Source organism: Homo sapiens, chromosome 11 (assembly GCF_000001405.40).
Source record: "Homo sapiens chromosome 11, GRCh38.p14 Primary Assembly".
NCBI classification, from domain to species: domain Eukaryota; kingdom Metazoa; phylum Chordata; class Mammalia; order Primates; family Hominidae; genus Homo; species Homo sapiens.
The window spans coordinates 4,013,767-4,033,324 of record NC_000011.10 but is presented as its reverse complement, the minus strand read 5'-3'; the positions used below and the strand labels follow the sequence as shown (position 1 = coordinate 4,033,324).

Genomic DNA, 19,558 nt, shown 5'->3' with positions numbered 1-19,558 from the left:
ATCCTAAGCCAAAAGAACAAAGCCGGAGGCATCACGCTACCTGACTTCAAACTATACTACAAGGCTACAGTAACCAAAATAGCATGGTACTGGTACCAAAACAGAGATATAGATCAATGGAACAGAACAGAGCCCTCAGAAATAACGCCACATATCTACAACTATCTGATCTTTGACAAACCTGAGAAAAACAAGCAATGGGGAAAGGATTCCCTATTTAATAAATGGTGCTGGGAAAACTGGCTAGCCATATGTAGAAAGCCGAAACTGGATCCCTTCCTTACACCTTATACAAAAATCAATTCAAGATGGATTAAAGACTTAAACGTTAGACCTAAAACCATAAAAACCCTAGAAGAAAATCTAGGCATTACCATTCAGGACATAGGCATGGGCAAGGACTTCATGTCTAGAATATAAAATCAATATATAAAAATCAATTACATTTCTGTATATAAGCAACAATCAGAAATTATTTTAAAATACCATTTACATAGTAAATTTTGTTATATGTATTTTACCATGATTTTAAAAAATACCATATACAACAGCATAAAAAACTATGAACTACTTAGTGATAAATCTGACAAAAGATGTGAAAGTTCTAAATGTGAAAGACCAAAAAATAGTACCCAGAGAAAGTGTATCTCTTAAATAAATGGAGAGATGTACTTTGTTTATGGGTTGAAAGAACATCAGTATTTTGAAGATGTCAGTTCTCTCAAACTCATCTATAGATTCAATGCAATCCTATTCAAAATCCCACCAGGCTTTTTTGTAGAAATTGACAGGTTTATTCAAGGACCTGAAACAGCCAAAATAACTTGAAAAAGAACAAAGTTGGAGGGCTAACACTACCTGATTGAAAGAATTATTATAATTCTATGGTAATCAAAATAGCATGGTACTGGCATAAAGACAGACAGATAGATCAGCGTATCATAATAGAGTCCAAAAATAAACTCACACTTATACAAACAACTTGAGGCATTTTTGTTTGCTTGTTTTTTAGAAACAGGTTCTTGCTATGCTGCCCTGGCTGGACTCCAACTCCTGGGCTCAAGCAGTTTTCACCCACCCACCCCACCTCAGCCACCTGAATAGCTGGGACTACAGTGTATGCTACTGCACTCAGCTTAAACAACTGATTTTTGACAAAAGATGAGAGGTGTGGCAACGCAATGAAGAAAAGAACAGCATTTCTAAAAATGGTTCTAGAACAATTGGGACCACGTGTAAGCACAATAAAGAAGTAAGTTCCATATTTCACACCACATATAAAAATTAATACAAAATGAATTATAGACCTAAATGTAAAACATAAAACTACAAAACTTCTAGAAAGAAACAGAAAGAAATCTTTGTGTGATCCTGGGTTAGGCAAAGATTTATTAGATACAATACCAAAAGCATGATCTGTTAAAAAACAAATTGATAAACTGGACTTCGTCAAAATTACAACTTTCTGCTCTTCAAAAGACACTGTTAAAAGACTGATAGGACAAGCCACAGATCTGGAGAAAATCTTAGCAAAGTATATATTTGATAAAAGACTTAAATGGAGAATATATAAAGAATTCTCAAAACTCAATTTAGAAAAACAACCCAATAAAAAGCAGACAAAAGATTTAACAGATACTCTACCAAAAAAGAGATATGAATGGAAACATGTACATAAAAGGATGCTCAACATTGTTAGTCATTAGGCAAATACAAAATAAAACCACGATCATTATACTATCAGAATGGCTAAAATTAAGTAGACCAACCATACCAAGTGTTTGTAAAGATATGGAAGAACTGAAAATGTCATATACTGCTGGTGGGAATATAAAAAATACAACTATTTTAGAAAACAGTTTGACAGTTTCTTAAAAACATATACCTACCATATCATCTAGTCATTCCACTCCTAGGTATTTACCTAAGAGAAAAGAAAATATATGTCCATACAGACTTACATGTGAATGTTCATAGCAGCTTTATTTGTAATAGCCAAAAACTAAAAGCAGCTCAATGTCTCCCAGTAGCTAAATAGGTAAATAAATTGTGGTATGTCTCTACAATGGACTACTACTAAGCAATAAAAACAAGTTAACTATTTACACATGCAAAACATAAGTGAACCTCAAAATAGTTACACTGAGTGAAAGTGGCCAGATTATTTTTTAAAAGTACATATTATATAACTCCATTTACATAAAACTGTAGCAAATGCAAACTAATCTATGGCAGAAAGCAGACCAGTGGTTGCTAGGGGAGCAGAGACTACAAAGGACTATGAGAAAACTTTCAGGGGTGATTAATATATTCACCATCTTTAATGCAGTGATGGTTTCACAATTGTATACATGTACCAAAATCTTAAAAATAGTAAACTTTAGAGATTTACACCTTTTTGTATGTCAATTGCAACTCAATAAATATCTTTTTAAAAAGGTAATGAAGTTGAGCTAAGGTAGTATCATCGGAGATGCACATAAGATATATTAAACAGGTAGAACCCTCGGGTGAGAGATACTCAGTTTTCTTATTTATTAAATGGGAATACAAGTAAAACTTTTTATCCTCAAGTGTCTATTTAAAATAAATATAAAATGACTGTGATAAAAGTTAAATCACTACATGGATGCTAGTTGTTTTTATTATCAGTATACAAAAATTATCTGAAAGAATGTAAGGGAAAGAAAAAGCCAACTGTATGATTCTTCCAAAAAATACAGCAGCAAACAACTAATGTCTGAGGTTTTTAACTAAATGACTTGATGGTTAACTTAGAAAAATAATTTTTTTAATGACTAAAAGAAAATACTAAACATATCTCTCATTAGGTTTATGTAAAAGCAAAAATGGGCTGCCAGCTCTTTCATACGGATCTGACTTTTGAAATGGTTTAGACAGAAGTCTGATGCCACCTGGCCTCCCTGTGTTGTGTCAACAGAGAGGTCAGCAGCTCTGCTGGGTGCTTTCTTTCTTTCTTTCTTTTTTTTTTTTTTTTGAGATGGAGTTTCACTCTTTCACCCAGGCTGGAGTGAAGTTGCGATCTCAGCTTACTGCAACCTCCATACCCTGGGTTCAAACAATTCTCCAGCCTCAGCCTCCCGAGTAGCTGGGATTATAGATGCCCACCACCACACCTGGCTAATTTTTGTATTTTTAATAGAGACAGGGTTTCACCATGTTGGCCAGGCAGGTCTTGAACTCCTGACCTTAAGTGATCCACCCGCCTCAGCCTCTCAAAAGTGCTAGGATTACAGGCGTGAGCCACCGCACCCGGCCTGGATGTTCTTTCTAAAGGCTTCCTAGCTCTCCAGTACAGTAAGTCCTCAATTAATGTCATCAATGGTTTGTTGGAAACTGCAACTTTAAGCAAAAGCATGTATAACAAAACCAATTTTACCAGAGGCTAATTGATATAAACAAGGGTGAAGTTATTATGGCATATTTCTGGTCACAAAAACATCACCAAACTTACAAATAAAGACCAAAACACTCCTAATATTACACAATGAAATAAACGTGACCTGTACATACATTTAAGGAAGATTAAAGCAAGTAAGATAATTATTTACCTGCTTACTTCAGTTCAAGGTTGAGAGTGGCTGGAGCCTATCCTCGGCAGCTCAGGGTGCCAGGTGGTAACCAACCCTGAATCAGATGCCATTCCATTGCAGGGCACACATACGCACACACCACATACACACGCACACTCTGTCTCTCTCTGTCTCTCTCTCCCACCCCCACCCCGCCCACCCTCCTTCCGTCCCTCCTCTCTCTCCCTCTCCCTCACTCAGATTGGGACCATTTAGACACACCAATTCACCTAAAGTGCACATCTTCGGGATGTGGGAGGAAACTGATATACCTGGAGAAAGCCCGTGCAGACATGGAGAAAATGTGCAAACTCCACAAAGAGACAATGGTCCCAGTAAGGAAGCAATTTTTTAATTTTCAACAGCATTATAATCAAACAAGGTTGAATGAAGTGACGTTATTCAGGAACCTGCTGTACTACTCCACTGCTTCCTGCAGAGAAATTCTATCGTCCAAAGAGTAGCACAGACAGAAAAGGAGATCTGTGAACTTACTTACTGTAATGTTTACTTTATTTTATTTATTTATTTATTTATTTTTTGAGACGGAGTTTCGCTCTTTGTTGCCCAGGCTGGAGTGCCATGGCGTGATCTCGGCTCACTGCAACCTCTGCTTTCCAGTTTCAAGCAATTCTCCTGCCTCAATCTCCCGAGCAGCTGGGATTACAGGTGCCCACCACCACACCTGGCTAATTTTTTTGTATTTTTAGTAGAGATGGGGTTTCACCATGTTGGCCAGGCTGGTCTTGAACTCCTGACCTCATGATCTGCCTGCCTCAGCCTCCCAAAGTGCTGGGATTACAGGCGTGAGCCACCACGCCCAGTCTGTAATGTTTATTTTCTACCAGGCTTTTGGAAACAAAAACTTTTGGAAACAACTACTATGGCAAAGTCCACAGGCACACTAGACTACCAGGTTCTTTTGCTTTCAGCTGCAATCATATTTCATAGAATCAAAGATTGATAGGTACAAAGTCTTGATTCATAAAAACGAGGAAAGAAATTACCACTTAAGAAATACTGGCCAAGTGTGGTGGCTCACGCCTGTAATCCTAGAACTTTGGAAGGCCGAGGCAGGCGGATCACCTATAGTCAGGAGTTCGAGACCAGCCTGGTCCAACATGGTGAAACCCCGTCTCTACTAAAAATACAAAAATTAGCCGGGCGTGGGGGTTCACGCCTGTAATCCCAGCTACTCGGGAGGCTGACGCAGGAGAATCTCTTGAACTTGGAAGGCAGAGGTTGCAGTGAGCCGAGAACATTCCACTGCACTCCAGCCTGGGCAGCAGAGCAAGACTCCACCTCGAAAAAAAAAAAGAAAAGAAAAAGAAAGAAAAAAAAAGAAATATTCACCAGGCACAGTGGCTCACGCCTGTAATCCCAGCATTTTAGGAGGCTGAGGCGGGTAGATCACTTGAGATCAGGAGTTCAAGACCAGCCTAGCCAACATGGTAAAACCCCATCTCCGTTAAAAATACAAAAATTAGCTGGACGTGATGGTGCACACTTGTAATCCCAGCTACTCGGGAGGCTGAGGCAAAAGAAGCCTTGAATCCAGGAGGCAGAGGCTGCAGTGAGCAAAGATCATGCCACTGAACTCCAGCCTGGGCTACAGAGTGAGACTCTGTCTCAAAAGAAGAAATATACTTTGTTTGGCAGATAGCATCATTTAAAATCTAGTGTCCAGGAAAGGAGAAGAGAAACAGTAACGATGCACTTTGCTTAGAAAAAATGAAAGCCATGGTTAGAGGAGAATTCCCTTAGGTCAGTGCCTCCCATCATTCTTCTCCAAAAATGACACTGTTATTGTTTCCAATGGCTCAAATATGCAAGCAGTAATTCTATTTCTCAAGGATTCTACAAAACTACCCAGCCACCCTTCCTTTAAAGAACTGCCACTCCTCTAACCTCATATGATCCTGTAGGGGCTGGAAATTGCAGCTCTCTCCAAACCCTACACACACACTCCCACCATCAACACCCTATTTAAATCTGTAATCCACACTACGCCAATCTGATTCTTCTCTTGTCATATCTGACTCTTGAGCAAAGACACTTAGAAATAAAAAATGAATAAAGCTGGGTCATATGAAAGTAGCTAATTAGAAAAGGCCAATTCCCCAGGCACGGTGGTTCACACCTATAATCCCAGCACTTTGGGAGGCCGAGGTGGGCAGATAATGAGGTCAAGAGATTGAGACCATCCTGGCCAACCAACACGGTGAAACCCCGTCTCTACTAAAAATACAAAAATTAGCTGGGCGCACTGGCACACACCTGTAGTCCCAGCTACTCGGGAGGCTGAGGCAGGAGAATCGCTTGAACCTGGGAGGCGGAGGTGGCAGTGAGCTGAGATTGCGCCACTGCACTCCAGCCCAGGTGACAGAGTGAGACTCTGTCTCAAAAAAAAGAAAAAAGAAAAAAAAGAAAAGGCGAATCCCCTAGTCTCTGCTGCTGGATTTCCTGGAGTGGCCCTCATTCTTGGTCCTTCTTCAACCCTGCTTTACCAGTTCTTCCATACTTAATTATTCAATGTTGTATAATAAAGAATTTGGCAGATCTTTGTCCTGGGTTACTGGGAGGTACCCACTGAACTTTTGGAATATTCCCAGTGATAGGAATGTCTTTATTATTCCTGGTGGGTCCCTTGGATCACACATGAGTTCAGGCTGATAAGATGACTCAGGATGGGGGGTGGTCACTATAAAAATCAACCACGTGACTAGAACATTGGGGCTCTGAGCCTGGTGATACCAATCCAACCTTTATGGAGAAAAAGGGAGCTGGATATTAAGTTCAATCATGTGCCTAAGAATTCAATCAAACTTGCCTATGTAATGAAACCCTAAGAAAAACACTGAACACCAAAGTTCAGTTGAGTTTCCTGGCTGGCAAACACTCTGATGTGCTGGAAATGGAGATGTGTCCTGATTCCACAAGGAGAGGACACAAAAGTGCCATATTCAGGACCCTCCAATATCTTGCCCTATAAATTTCTTCTTTTGGCTGGTCCTGATTTGTAACTTTTATAATAAAATTGTAATCATAAGTATAGGGCTTTCTTGAATTCTCTGAGTAGTCCTAGTTAATTATCAAACCTGAGAAGGCCATGGTAATGCATGAATTGTAGTCAGCTGGTCAGAAGTGCAGGTGACCTGGGAACAGCTTGAAATTATGGCTGATGTCTGAAGTGAGAGTAATCTTATCGGGGGCTGTGAACTTAACTTGTGAAGTCTGTGCTAACTCTGTATAATCATAATATCTATACTTCATATGGTTTCTGTGAGAAATAAGTTAATATATGTAAAACACTTAGAAACAGTGCCTAGCACATATTAAATACTATATAAATGTTAAAGTAGTTTTTCAGTTTTTGTCGTTGCTGCTGCTGTTTTTATTCCTAAAGCCCAGAGTTGGCTAAGATAGAGATTAGAAAACTTTTCTGCTAAGATCTATATAACACAGAGAAAAGACTGGCTCCCAACATTAGTCAGAAAAATGTTAACAATGCTAATCACACAGATGGTACTGACACTAGCCAGCTAATGTTCTGAACACAAGTGACCACTGCTGACATCTACATCATCTAGCTAAACTCAGAACAGCTAGTTTGAGCCGGTGCCAGAATATTAAATGCTTTTTGTAGCTCTGGAAATCATCACTCCGGAGAGATTAGGGGCCTTTTTCTGAATAATGAAGCAAATTATTGGGAGGAAGAGGACATATAAAAATTCTCACTTTTAGTCTGTCAAATCACCAGGTATAACACACAGTGAGCAAATTCTAATAGGGTACATATATATCATTTCTCAGCTGTGAACTACATCACTGCATTGAAATGCTTTTCTCCACTCATGGTTAATGAGGACTCTCCCCCAAAAAACCTCACTCCATTGTCTTTCATTTTCCTGTAATTTAGAATACACTGGAAGTGTTCCAAATAGTTGCTAAGTCCAAAAATAAAGTCCTTGCCAGAAAACTGCCTGGAGCTGTTTTCTAGCATTATGATTTAGTCCCTCTGTTTCTGCCCTCTCACTTTCCTTTCCTAGATACTTCTATGCGAGCTTTCAGAAAAGGCCAGAATGCTCTCCCTGCCATCTTTAATTCTAAGTTCCTACTTTTGAAACCCACTCTTAAAAACCAGCCACCCTGTCCTCATGTTATTAGAGAAAAATAAGAAAGCCAAAACTAAATGATGCTAATGGAAGATTTTTTCCTGGCACCGCTGGTATAGTTCCAAAGCTCATGTCACTGCTTAATCTTCATCAGTACATAGCCTGAGTTGCTCGAGAGCTATTAAAGAAAAGCCCCCAGAAGGAACTCAGCTTCCAAAGATATCCAGGAAGCTCTCTCCTACAGCTGCCTAATTTTTCTTCTACATTGATAAAACATAGAGTTAACAGGAAGCATCAGCCTGTCCATCCCATAATCAGGATTAGAATCCAGGTCTTCCTGCTTCACATTTAATGCTCCCCATCTACAATATAGATTATCCCTTTCAGATCTCAAATTCTATAAGCCTAAATTAAAATGTAAATAAAAATAGAAACTGCCTCATTCCTACCAAAACTAGTCTTCTCTACCTTAGACTAATGCTTTCAACCAAGAGGGTATTGAAAAGCATTGGCCTACAGCTGAAGTTCTGGCTCTACTAAATGCATGATAATGACAAGTAACTTTATACATCTAGGCCTAAGGTTCCTCAAATAAAAACCAGGGATCCTGATGGTTACTTACATTTAACCCCTGTTACATCAGAACCTGCCCTAAGAGACCCTGGGAAGAGAGATTTCTTCTAGTCTTATTGTTATCTGTGCCCTAGCCACAGATATAAATGGAGAGGAAGCTAAAGCCCTGTTTTCCCCTTCCCTGTCAAGTCTCGCACAATTAGACATGCTCTTTCACTAAGAACTCTGAAGGAAATGCTCCAGAAAAAAAAAATGGTAATCATGGTTTAGCAGTTTTACAGAAATCTGAAGTTTTCATTAAGCTCAACATGGGTCAGTAGAGTGGTATGACTAGTGAGGCACCAGAATCTAATCAGACTGCACTAACAGATGCACAGGATTCAGAAACAAGAAGGTGACAGTCCTGCTCAACTCCGTGATGATAAAATCACACTTGGAGGTCTGCAGCCAACTATAGGATCTAAGAAACACATTAACAAAAGTGCTTATAGGCAGGAAATCAAGACAAGAAGGAGGCTGAGAAAATGTTTTCTTCAAGAAGTAGGGCTACTTAACCTGGAAAAAAGAAGACTCAGGAGCTTTCAACCAAAATGGTATAGAAAAGCTTTCAATCAAGATGGTATAGAAGAGGAGAGAGTCTGTCTGTACCCTCACCCAATCTTTGAATTGTCTAGGACTCAGCAGAGCTGGGACTAAGTGGGAAGCTAGAGAAGAAAGGGGCTGCCTCAAGAGACCAGCAAGCTCCCTATCTCTGGAGATAAAGCAGCAGAACCTGGAAGATTCCTATGCCAGGGTTAGGTGGGTGACGAAAGGGGTAGGAATAGGATAGAATTCAAAAAGTATCCTAATGAAGAAAAACGCCAACTCTGGAGAACCTTCCCCCATGCCCAGCAGAGTGACTATATTCAGTCTTTTTTAGTGACTATATGTAGAATAACTTCAATAATTTGCCCTTTACTAAGCATTTTATATACATGTTCTTCTAAGGCCAAGTTGCTGCTTCTCTCTTCTCTAAACCTTCCCACAACTAGGATTGATGACCAGGCTGCCTATTACCTTCTGATGACTTCCATGCCTTCCACAGGTCCTCCACGCTGATGAGCTTATCCTCACCATGGAAGGTGCTGTGTTTCACTGTTGGGTCATGGTAATTGAGGTCTTCCCTCAGGAACTGCAAGGGAAAAGTACACAAGTCACAAGAGATACCTAGGAGTCAGCCCGTCAAGATCTCCACACAGGTCACCTGCCTCTAGCTAGCCATAACACATTCCATCTACCCAACATACAAGTGTATCACATCACTCATGTATCCTTCCTTATGCACATGTCTTAGTTGCCAACTAAACTATCACTTCCTCTTTGTTACATGTCTCACTTGAAAAATATATATAAATTAGAAATCCTTTCCTCATATTTTTTAACTATGAAAAGACAATACATGACAGTTAACTGAAAATCAATAAGCTAAAAGAGGAAAGAAAAAAGGAAGAATTTAAAATGTTTGAGTACTTGCTTATAAATTAGGCAATATTCTAAGAATTTCCACAATATTTTCTCATCAAATCTTCACAACCAATGAATTATCACACTTATTTTATAAATGAGAACAGTGATACTCTTGAAGATAATGCCATTTGCCCCAAATTACATTAGGTTTAGACAGGTTAATTTACTGTGATGGTTGTTTGTTTGTTTGTTTGTTTGTTTGTTTGTCTTGAGACAGAGTCTCGCTCGTCACCCAGGCTGGAGTGCAGTGGCGCAATTTCAGCTCACTGCAACCTCCACCTCCGAAGTTCAAGCAATTCTCTTGTCTCAGCCTCCTGAGTAGCTGGGATTACAGGTGTGTGCCACCCGACCCAGCTAACTCTTTGTATTTCAGTAAAGATAGGGTTTCACCATTGCCCAGGCTGGTCTCAAACTCTTGAGCTCAGGCAATCCACCCATCTCGGTCTCCGAAAGTGCTAGGATTACAGGTGTGAGCCACCATACCCGGCCGACTGTAATGGTTTTAAAACATGTCCACAAATTGTTTGATAATCCTCCCGTTAAAGGTGGATTTCCCTCCCCTTTAATATAGGCTGACATTAGTGACTCATCTTCTAACAAATAGAATGTGGCAACAGTGATGTTGCACGACACCCAAGTCTAGGTTAGAAAAAGCAATATAAATTTCACCTAGCTCTCTCTCTTTTGGGCCCTGAGGGGCCCTGAGTCAAAATGTAAGAAGCCTGGCTACGCTGAAGCCACCCTGCTGGAGATATCATGTGGAAAGTCTATGTAGAGATAGAAATGTGTGAGTAGCCCCAGCTGTTTGAGTCTTCAAGTTCAGGAGTCAGGTATGTGAGTGACTGAGACTTCAGTTGATTCCAGCCCCCAGCTCTGCAATCAAATTAGGTATAGAAGGAATATACCTCAACACAATAAAGGCCATATATGACAAACCCACATCTAATATATTGAACAGGGAAAAGTTGAAAGCTTTTCTTCTAAAATCTGGAACGAGACAAGGATGCCTTCGTTCACCGCTATTATTCAACACAGTAATGAAAGTCCTAGCCAGAGCAATTAGGCAAGAGGAAAGAAAGGAAAGGAAGGGAAGGAAGGGAAGGAAGGAAAGAAGAAAGGCATCAAAATTGGAAAGAAGGAAGTCAAACTGCCCCTGCATGCAGACAACATGATCTTCTCTCTTTTTTTTTTTTTTTTTTTTTGAGACAGGTTCTTATTCTGTCACCCAGGCTGCAGTGCAGTGGCATGATCTCAGCTGACTGCAACCTCCACCTCCTGGGCCTCAAGAGATCCTTCCATCTCTGCCTCCCAAGTAGCTGGGACTATAGGTGTGCACGCCACCCCACCTGGCTAATTTTTTGTATTTTTGGTAGAGACGGGATTTTACCACGTTACCCAGGCTGGTCTCAAACTCCTGATCTCAAGGGATCCACCCACCTCTGCTTCCCAAAGTGCTGGAATTACAAGTGTGAGCCACCATGCCCAGCCAATAACATGATATTAAATCTAGAAAAACCTACAGACACCACCAAAAAACTGTTAGAGCTAGTAAACAAATCTGAAAAAGAAATTAAAAAAAATCCCATTTACAATAGCTACAAAAAATAATAAAATACCTAAGAATAAATTTAACCAAGGAGGTAAAAGATCTCTACAATGAAAACTGTAAAATACTGATGAACTAAATTGAAGAAGACACAAATAAATGGAAAGATACCCTATGTACATGGGTTGGAAGAATTAATATTGTTAAAATATTCATACTACCCAAAGCAATCTACGGATTCAATGTAATCCCTATCTAAATTTCAGTGACATTCTTGACAGAAATAGAAAAAAAAATCCTAAAATTCATATGGAACCAAAAAGAAACCTGAATAGCCAAAGCCATCTTGAGCAAAAAGAACAAAGCTAGAGCAATCACACCATCTGACTTTAAAATATTCTCCAAAACAATAGTAACTGAAACAGCATGGTGCTGGCATAAAAACAGACATGGAAAAGAATACAGAACACAGGAATAAAATCCACATATGTATAGCCAATTGATTTTGGACAAATGCATGAACAAACACTGAGGAAAGGACAATCTCTTCAATAAACTGTACTGGGGGCCGGGCACGGTGGCTCATGCCTGTAATCCCAGCACTTTGGGAGGCCAAGGCAGGTGGATCGCCTGAAGCTGGGAGTTGGAGACCAGCCTGGCCAGCATGGCGAAACCCCATCTCTACTAAAAATACAAAAATTAGCTGGGCATGGTGGCACATGCCTGTAATCCCAGTTACTCGGGAGGCTGAAGCAGGAGAATCACTTGAACCCAGGAAGTGGAGGCTGCAGTGAGCTAATATCACGTCACTGCACTGCCAAAAAACAACAACAACAACCACCACCACCACCACCACCATAGGCAACAAAATACAAAAATAGATAAATGGGATTAAATCAAAATAAAATGGAAACAATGAAAAGTGAAGAGACAACCTACAGAATGGGAGAAAACATCTGCAAATTATACATCTGACAAGCGGTTAACATCTAGAATATATAAGGAACTCGAACAACTCAATAGAAAAAAAATCAGATTAAAAAATGGGTGAAAGATCTAACTAGACATTTCTCAAAAGAAGACAAACAAGACTGAGCACAGTGGTTCATGCCTGTAATCACGGCACTTTGGGAAGCGAAAGTGGGAGGATCACTTGAGATCAGGATTTTGAGACCAGCCTGGGCAGCATAGGGAGACTCCGCCTGTGCAAAAAATTAAAAAAAAAAAATTAGCCAGGTGTGGTGGTTTATGCCTGTGGTCCCAGCTATAGGCTGAAGCTAGAGCCTGAGGTCAGAGGATCACTTGAGCCTGGGAGATCAAGGTTGTAGTGAGTTGTGATCATGCCACTGTACTCCAGCCTGGGTGACAGAGCGAGACCTTGTCTCAGAGAAAAAAGAAAAAAAAAAGTCCAAAAGATATGTGAAAAATATGCTCAATATCACTAATCATCAGGGAAATGGAAATCAAAACCACAATGAGATATCATCTCACCCCAGTTAGTATGGCTATTACCAAAAAAATAACAAATAACAAATGCTGCCAAGGATATAGAGAAAGGGAAACCCTTACACACTGTTGGTGGCAGTGTAAATTAGTACAGTCACCATATAAAACAGTATGGAGGTTCCTCAAAACATGAAAAATAGAACTACCATATGATCCAGAAATCCCACTATTCGGTACACATCCAAAGGAAATGAAATCAGCATGTTGAAGAGACATCTTCACTTCCATGTTTATTGCAGCACTATTCACAATAGCCAAGATATAGAATCAACCTCAGGGCCCATCAGCAAATGAATGTTTAAAGAAAATGTCGTATATTTACACAACAGCATACCATTCAGCCATAAAGAAAAAAAGAATGAAATTCTGTCATTTGTGGCAACATGGATGTGCCTCGAGGACATTATGCTAAGTGAAATAAGCCAGGCACAAAAAATAAATACCACATGTTCTCACTCATATATGGAATCTTAAAAAGCTGATCTCATAGAAGTAGAACGTAGGATAGTGGTTACCAGAATCTGGGAAGGGTAGACAGGGAGATGGGGAGAGATTGGTCAGTGGGTACAAATTTACAGTTGGGAGGGTAAGTTTATAAGTTCTAGTGTTCCATTGCACAGTAGGGTGATTTTAGTTAACAATAATATAGTGTATATTTCAAAATAGCTAGAAGAAAGGATTTTGAATGTTCACCACAAAGAAATGATATATGTTTGAGATGACAGATATACTAATTTTACCCCCTAATTTGATCATTATACATTGTATACATGTATCAAAACATCACACTGTATCCTATAAATATGTACAATTTTTTTGGATGGTTGGTTGGTTGGTGGGGTTTTTTGTTGTTGTTGTTTTTGAGACAGTGTCTCGCTCTGTCACCCAGGCTGGGTGATCCTCCTGCCTCAGCTTCCCAAGTAACTTGGACTATGGGTGTGCACCACGGTACCGAGCTATTTTTTTAAATTTTTTGTACACACGGTGTCTCACTATGTTTCCCAAGCTGGTCTCAAACTCCTGAGCTCAAGCAATCCTCCTGCCTCAGCCTCCCAAAGTGCTCGGATTACAGGCGTCAGCCACCATGCCTGGCCAATATGTACAACTGTTATGTATCAGTTACAAATAAAATAAAATTTTAAAAATGTTTTTAAATAAAATATAATTTAAATAAAGAAAAAAACAGCAGGGAAGAGGAATAGGAGATGCCAAGAGTAGTGGTATTCACAATTTGTCATTTTAATGAGAGGAATCAAGGTGTCATTAAGAAGCTGACTTCATTTTCTTCATTTTTATTTTATGTACAAACAGCTAATATGATTTTTCATTGTGTGGATGCCTTGGATAATCCATTCAAGGAAGATCACTTAGTCCAATTTAATGAAACCTATATCCTTCACGTACTGATGGCAACACTGGAGGCACATATTGAGGCTATATTTCCAGATCAGACCATGCTGGTTTGAGCAGATGCAACAAGAGCGAGAACTCTGGCCAGATTTTTGTGGGTGGCTCCAGCAGAGCTGCTTGTGATCCATTTTGCCTTCAGGAGTGCAACAAGGCAAAAGATAAGAAGGTGACTTCAAAGCAAATATTTAAAAGAGGTGTGGGAGAAAGGCATGCAGAATAACTGGGAGAAGAGTATCCCAAGAATGGAGAAGGGCAGAAGCAAAGTCCCTGAGGCAAGAGAATATACTTGGTATGTTCAAGGAATAACAAGAAGGCCAGTATCGTTGGAGAGAAATGAGTAAGGTGGTAACCAGCAGGAGATGAACTCAAAGAAGCCACAGGGTTCCAGAACACAGATCCCCCTTTTATGCCTTTTTTTTTTTTTTTTTTTGAGACAGAGTTTCATTCTTATTGCCCAGGCTGGAGTGCAGGGGCACAAACCTGGCTCACCGCAACCTCCACCTCCCAGTTTCAAGCAATTCTCCTGCCTCAGCCTCCCGAGTAGCTGGGATTACAGGCATGCACCACCACTCCTGGCTAATTTTGTTTGTTTTTTTTTTTTTTTTTTTTTTTTTTTTGAGACGGAGTCTCGCTCTGTCGCCCAGGCCGGACTGCGGACTGCAGTGGCGCAATCTCGGCTCACTGCAAGCTCCGCTTCCCGGGTTCACGCCATTATCCTGCCTCAGCCTCCCGAGTAGCTGGGACTACAGGCGCCCGCCACCGCGCCCGGCTAATTTTTTTTTGTATTTTTAGTAGAGACGGGGTTTCACCTTGTTAGCCAGGATGGTCTCGATCTCCTGACCTCATGATCCACCCGCCTCGGCCTCCCAAAGTGCTGGGATTACAGGCGTGAGCCACCGCGCCCAGCCAATTTTGTATTTTTTAATAGAGATGGGGTTTCTCCATGTTAGTCAGGCTGGTCTTGAACTCCAGACCTCAGGTGATCCACCTGTCTCGGCCTCCCAAAGTGCTGGGATTATAGGCGTGAGCCATGCACCCAGCTGACTTTTTAGGCTATTATCAAGACTTTGATTTTTCACTCTGAGATGGGAGCTGTTACAGGGATTTGAACAGAGGTATAACATGAAGACATTTATATTTTTAAAACGATTTCTCTGGATACTGTGTTAAAAAGTAGACTATAAAAGGGAAAGGGCAGATACAGAGAAATCACTCAGGTGGGTATTGCAATAACATGAGCTAATGGTGGTTTGAAACAAGGTGGTAGCTGTGGAAGTGATGAGAATTTGTCAGAATTGGGATATATTTTAGAGATCAAATCTGCTATCCTCATGATTTTTTAGGTTTGATTAATCAGGTTCTTCAAGATATACCCTTCTTTGGTCCTCATAGGCTCCAACCTAGAACCTCTTAATCTAAGACTAGAAAGACAGTTACCACAAGCAAGCCTTGGGAGCAGAAACACCAAAATCTCCAAGGAAGGGGATTTTCTCCCATTATCAGATAACTCCAGGAAACCATCTGACATGAGATACCAGCTGCTTATAGGAAATCAACAAGAAATAGACTCATTTTTATAGTCAAGTCTGATCACCGAGGTAAGTGGAGAGCAGAGAAACTCAGAAAGAAAGTATAAGGAAGATCTGCATAGGGACTCACATACAGACCCTACTGGTGCCACAAAACACACAAAAAACAAGTAGGGTCAGAAAACAAGGTCAGAGAGAAGATGATGCCAAAAGAGGAACTGGCAAATAGAAGCTCTACCTGAAGGAAGGTACTTATGCTGAATGGGACCTCTTTAGAAAATAAAGAAATGAAGCTGCAACAATCAGGCCTTAAGAGTCAGAAAGGCAGAACCCAGTGGACTTCCAAGATGGCCAAATAGGAACAGCTCCGGTCTACAGCTCCCAGTGAGATCAATGCAGAAGACGGGTGATTTCTGCATTCCCAACTGAGGTACCTGGTTCATCTCATTGGGACTGGTTGGACAGTGGGTGCAGCCCATGGAGGACAAGCCAAAGCAGGGTGGGGCATTGCCTTACCTGGCAAGTGCAAGGGGTCAGGGGATTTCCCTTTCCTAGCCAAAGGGAAGCCGTGAGTGACTCTACCTGGTGGAACAGTGCACTGCTGCCCAAATACCGCACTTTTCCCACGGTCTTCGCAACTGGCAGATCCAGGAGATTCCCTCCTGTGCCTGGCTCGGCGGGTCCCACACACACAGAGCCTTCCTTGCTGCTAGCACAGCAGTCTGAGATCGACCCGGGACACTGGAGCTTGGTGGGGGGAGGGGCATCCACCATTGCTGAGGCTTGAGTAGGCAGTTCTATGCTCACAGTGTAAATAAAGTGGCAAGGAGCTCAAACTGGGCGGAGCCCATTGCACCTCAGCAAGGCCTACTGCCTCTCTAGATTCCATCTCTGGGGGCAGGGCATATCTGAACAAAAGGCAGCAGACAGCTTCTGCAGACTTAAACGTCCCTGCCTGACAGCTCTGAAGAGAGCAGTGGTTGTCCCAGCACAGCGTTTGAGCTCCGATAATGGACAGACTGCCTCCTCAAGTGGGTCCCTGACACCCGTGTAGCCTGACTGGGAGACACCTCCCAGTAGGGACTGACAGACACCTCATACAGGCGGGTGACCCTCTGGGACAAAGCTTCCAGAGGAAGGATCAGGCAGCAACATTTGCTGTTCTGCAGCCTCCACTGGTGATACCCAGGCAAACAGGGTCTGGAGTGGACCTCCCGCCAACTCCAACAGACATGCAGCTGAGGGGCCTGTCTGTTAGAAGGAAAATTAACAAACAGAAAGGAATAGCATCAACATCAACAAAAAGGACATCCACACCAAAACCCCATCTGTAGGTCACCAACATCAAAGAACAAAGGTAGATAAAACCACAAAGATGGGGAGAAACCAGAACAGAAAGGCTGAAAATTCCAAAAACTGGAACGCCTCTTCTCCTCCAAAGGAACACAACTCCTCGCCAGCAAGGGAACAAAACTGGAGGGAGGATGAGTTTAACGAGTTGACAGAAGTAGGCTTCAGAAGGTCGGTAATAACAAACTTCTCCGACCTAAAGGAGCATGTTCTAACCCATTGCAAGGAAGCTAAAATCCTTGAAAAAAGGTTAGACAAATGGCTAACTAAAATAACCAGTGTAGAGAAGAGCTTAAATGACCTGATGGAGCTGAAAACCACAGTACGAGAACTTCATGAAGCATACACAAGCTTCAATAGCCGATTTGATCAAGCGGAAAAAAAGATATCAGTGATTGAAGATCAAATTAATGAAATAAAGCAAGAAGACAAGATGAGAGAAAAAAGTAAAAAGAAACGAACAAAGCTTCCAAGAAATATGGGACTATGTGAAAAGACCAAATCTACGTCTGATTGGTGTACCTGAAAGTGACAGGGAGAATGCAACCAAGTTAGAAAACACTCTTCAGGATATTATCCAGGAGAACTTCCCCAACCTAGCAAGGCAGGCCAACATTCAAATTCAGGAAATACACAGAACACCATAAAGATACTCCTCGAGAAGAGCAACCCCAAGACACATAATTGTCAGATTCACCAAGGTGGAAATGAAGGAAAAAATGTTAAGGGCAGCCAGAGAGAGAGGTCGGGTTACCCACAAAGGGAAGCCCATCAGACTAACAGTGGATCTCTTGGCAGAAACCCTACAAGCCAGAAGAGAGTGGGGGCCAATATTCAACATTCTTAAAGAATTTTCAACCCAGAATTTCATATCCAGCCAAACTAAGCTTCATAAGTGAAGGAGAAATAAAATCCTTTACAGACAAGCAAATGCTGAGAAATTTTGTCACCACCAGGCCTGCCTTACAAGAGCTCCTGAAGGAAGCACTAAACATGGAAAGGACAACCAGTACCAGCCACTGCAAAAATATGCCAAATTGTAAAGACCATTGATGCTATGAAGAAACTGCATCAATTAATGGGCAAAATAACCAGCTAGCATCATATTGACAGGATCAAATTCACACCTAACAATATAAACCTTAAATGTAAATGGGCTAAATGCCCCAATTAAAAGACACAGAGTGGTAAATTGGATAAAGAGTCAAGACCCATCAGTAGCTGTATTCAGGAGACCCATCTCACGTGTAAAGACACACATAGGCTCAAAATAAAGGGATAGAGGAAGATCCACCAAGCTAATGGAAAGCAATAAAAAGCAGGGGTTGCAAACCTAGTCTCTGATAAAACAGACTTTAAACCAACAAAGATCAAAAGAGACAAAGAAGGCCATTACATGATGGTAAAGGGATCAATTCAACAAGAAGAGCTAACTATCCTAAATATATATGCACCCAATACAGGAGCACCCAGATTCATAAAGCAAGTCCTGAGTGACCTACAAAGAGACTTAGACTCCCACACAATAATAATGGGAGACTTTAACACCCCACTGTCAATATTAGACAGATAAACAAGACAGAAAATTAACAAGGATATCCAGGACTTGAACTCAGCTCTGGACCAAGCAGACCTAATAGACATCTACAGAACTCTCCACGCCAAATCAACAGACTATACATTCTTCTCAGCACCACATCACACTTATTCTAAAATTGACCACATACTTGGAAGTAAAATACTCGTCAGCAAATGTAAAAGAACAGAAATCACAACAAACTGTCTCTCAGACCACAGTGCAATCAAATTAGAACTCAGGATTAAGAAGTTCACTCAAAACCACACAACTACGTGGGAACTGAACAACCTGCTCCTGAAGGACTACTGGATAAATAACGAAATGAAGGCAGAAATAAAGATGTTCTTTGAAACCAATGAGAACAAAGACACAACATACCAGAATCTCTGGGACACATTTAAAACAGTGTGTAGAGGGAAATTTATAGCACCAAATGCCCACAAGAGAAAGCAAAAAAGATCTAAAATCGACACCCTAACATCACAATTAAAAGAACTAGAGAAGAAATGGCAAACAAATTCAAGAGCTAGCAGAAGACAAGAAATAACTAAGATCACAGCAGAACTGAAGGAGATAGAGACACAAAAAACCCTTCAAAAAATCAATGAATCAGCCAGGCGTGGTGGCTGATGCCTGTAATCCCAGCACTTTGGGAAACCAACACGGGCGGATCACGAGGTCAGGAGATCGAGACCATCCTGGCTAACACGGTGAAACCCTGTCTCTACTAAAAAAATACAAAAAAATTAGCCAGGCATGGTGGCGGGTGCCTGTAGTCCCAGCTACTCGGGAGGCGGAGGCAGGAGAATGGCGTGAAACCGGGAGGAGGAGCTTGCAGTGAGCCAAGATCA

The 19,558-nt window shown here is 41.1% G+C and overlaps 1 protein-coding gene and 1 pseudogene across 22 annotated transcripts in view; both read right to left on the bottom strand.

Annotated features, from left to right (window-relative positions):
- STIM1 (stromal interaction molecule 1) overlaps positions 1–19,558 on the bottom strand; it is a 238,607-nt gene that overhangs the window by 59,886 nt on the left and 159,163 nt on the right. For all 22 annotated transcript variants that reach the window (NR_168437.1, NR_168436.1, NR_168438.1 and 19 more), the window contains one exon: positions 9,338–9,452. Coding sequence is in view for 17 of the 22 variants with exons in the window: in NM_001382578.1 (NP_001369507.1) it covers positions 9,338–9,452 (115 nt within the window). In the remaining 5 variants the exon portion in view is untranslated. The remainder of the gene's footprint in view (positions 1–9,337; positions 9,453–19,558) is intronic.
- Positions 14,207–14,377, bottom strand: RPS29P20 (ribosomal protein S29 pseudogene 20; annotated as a pseudogene).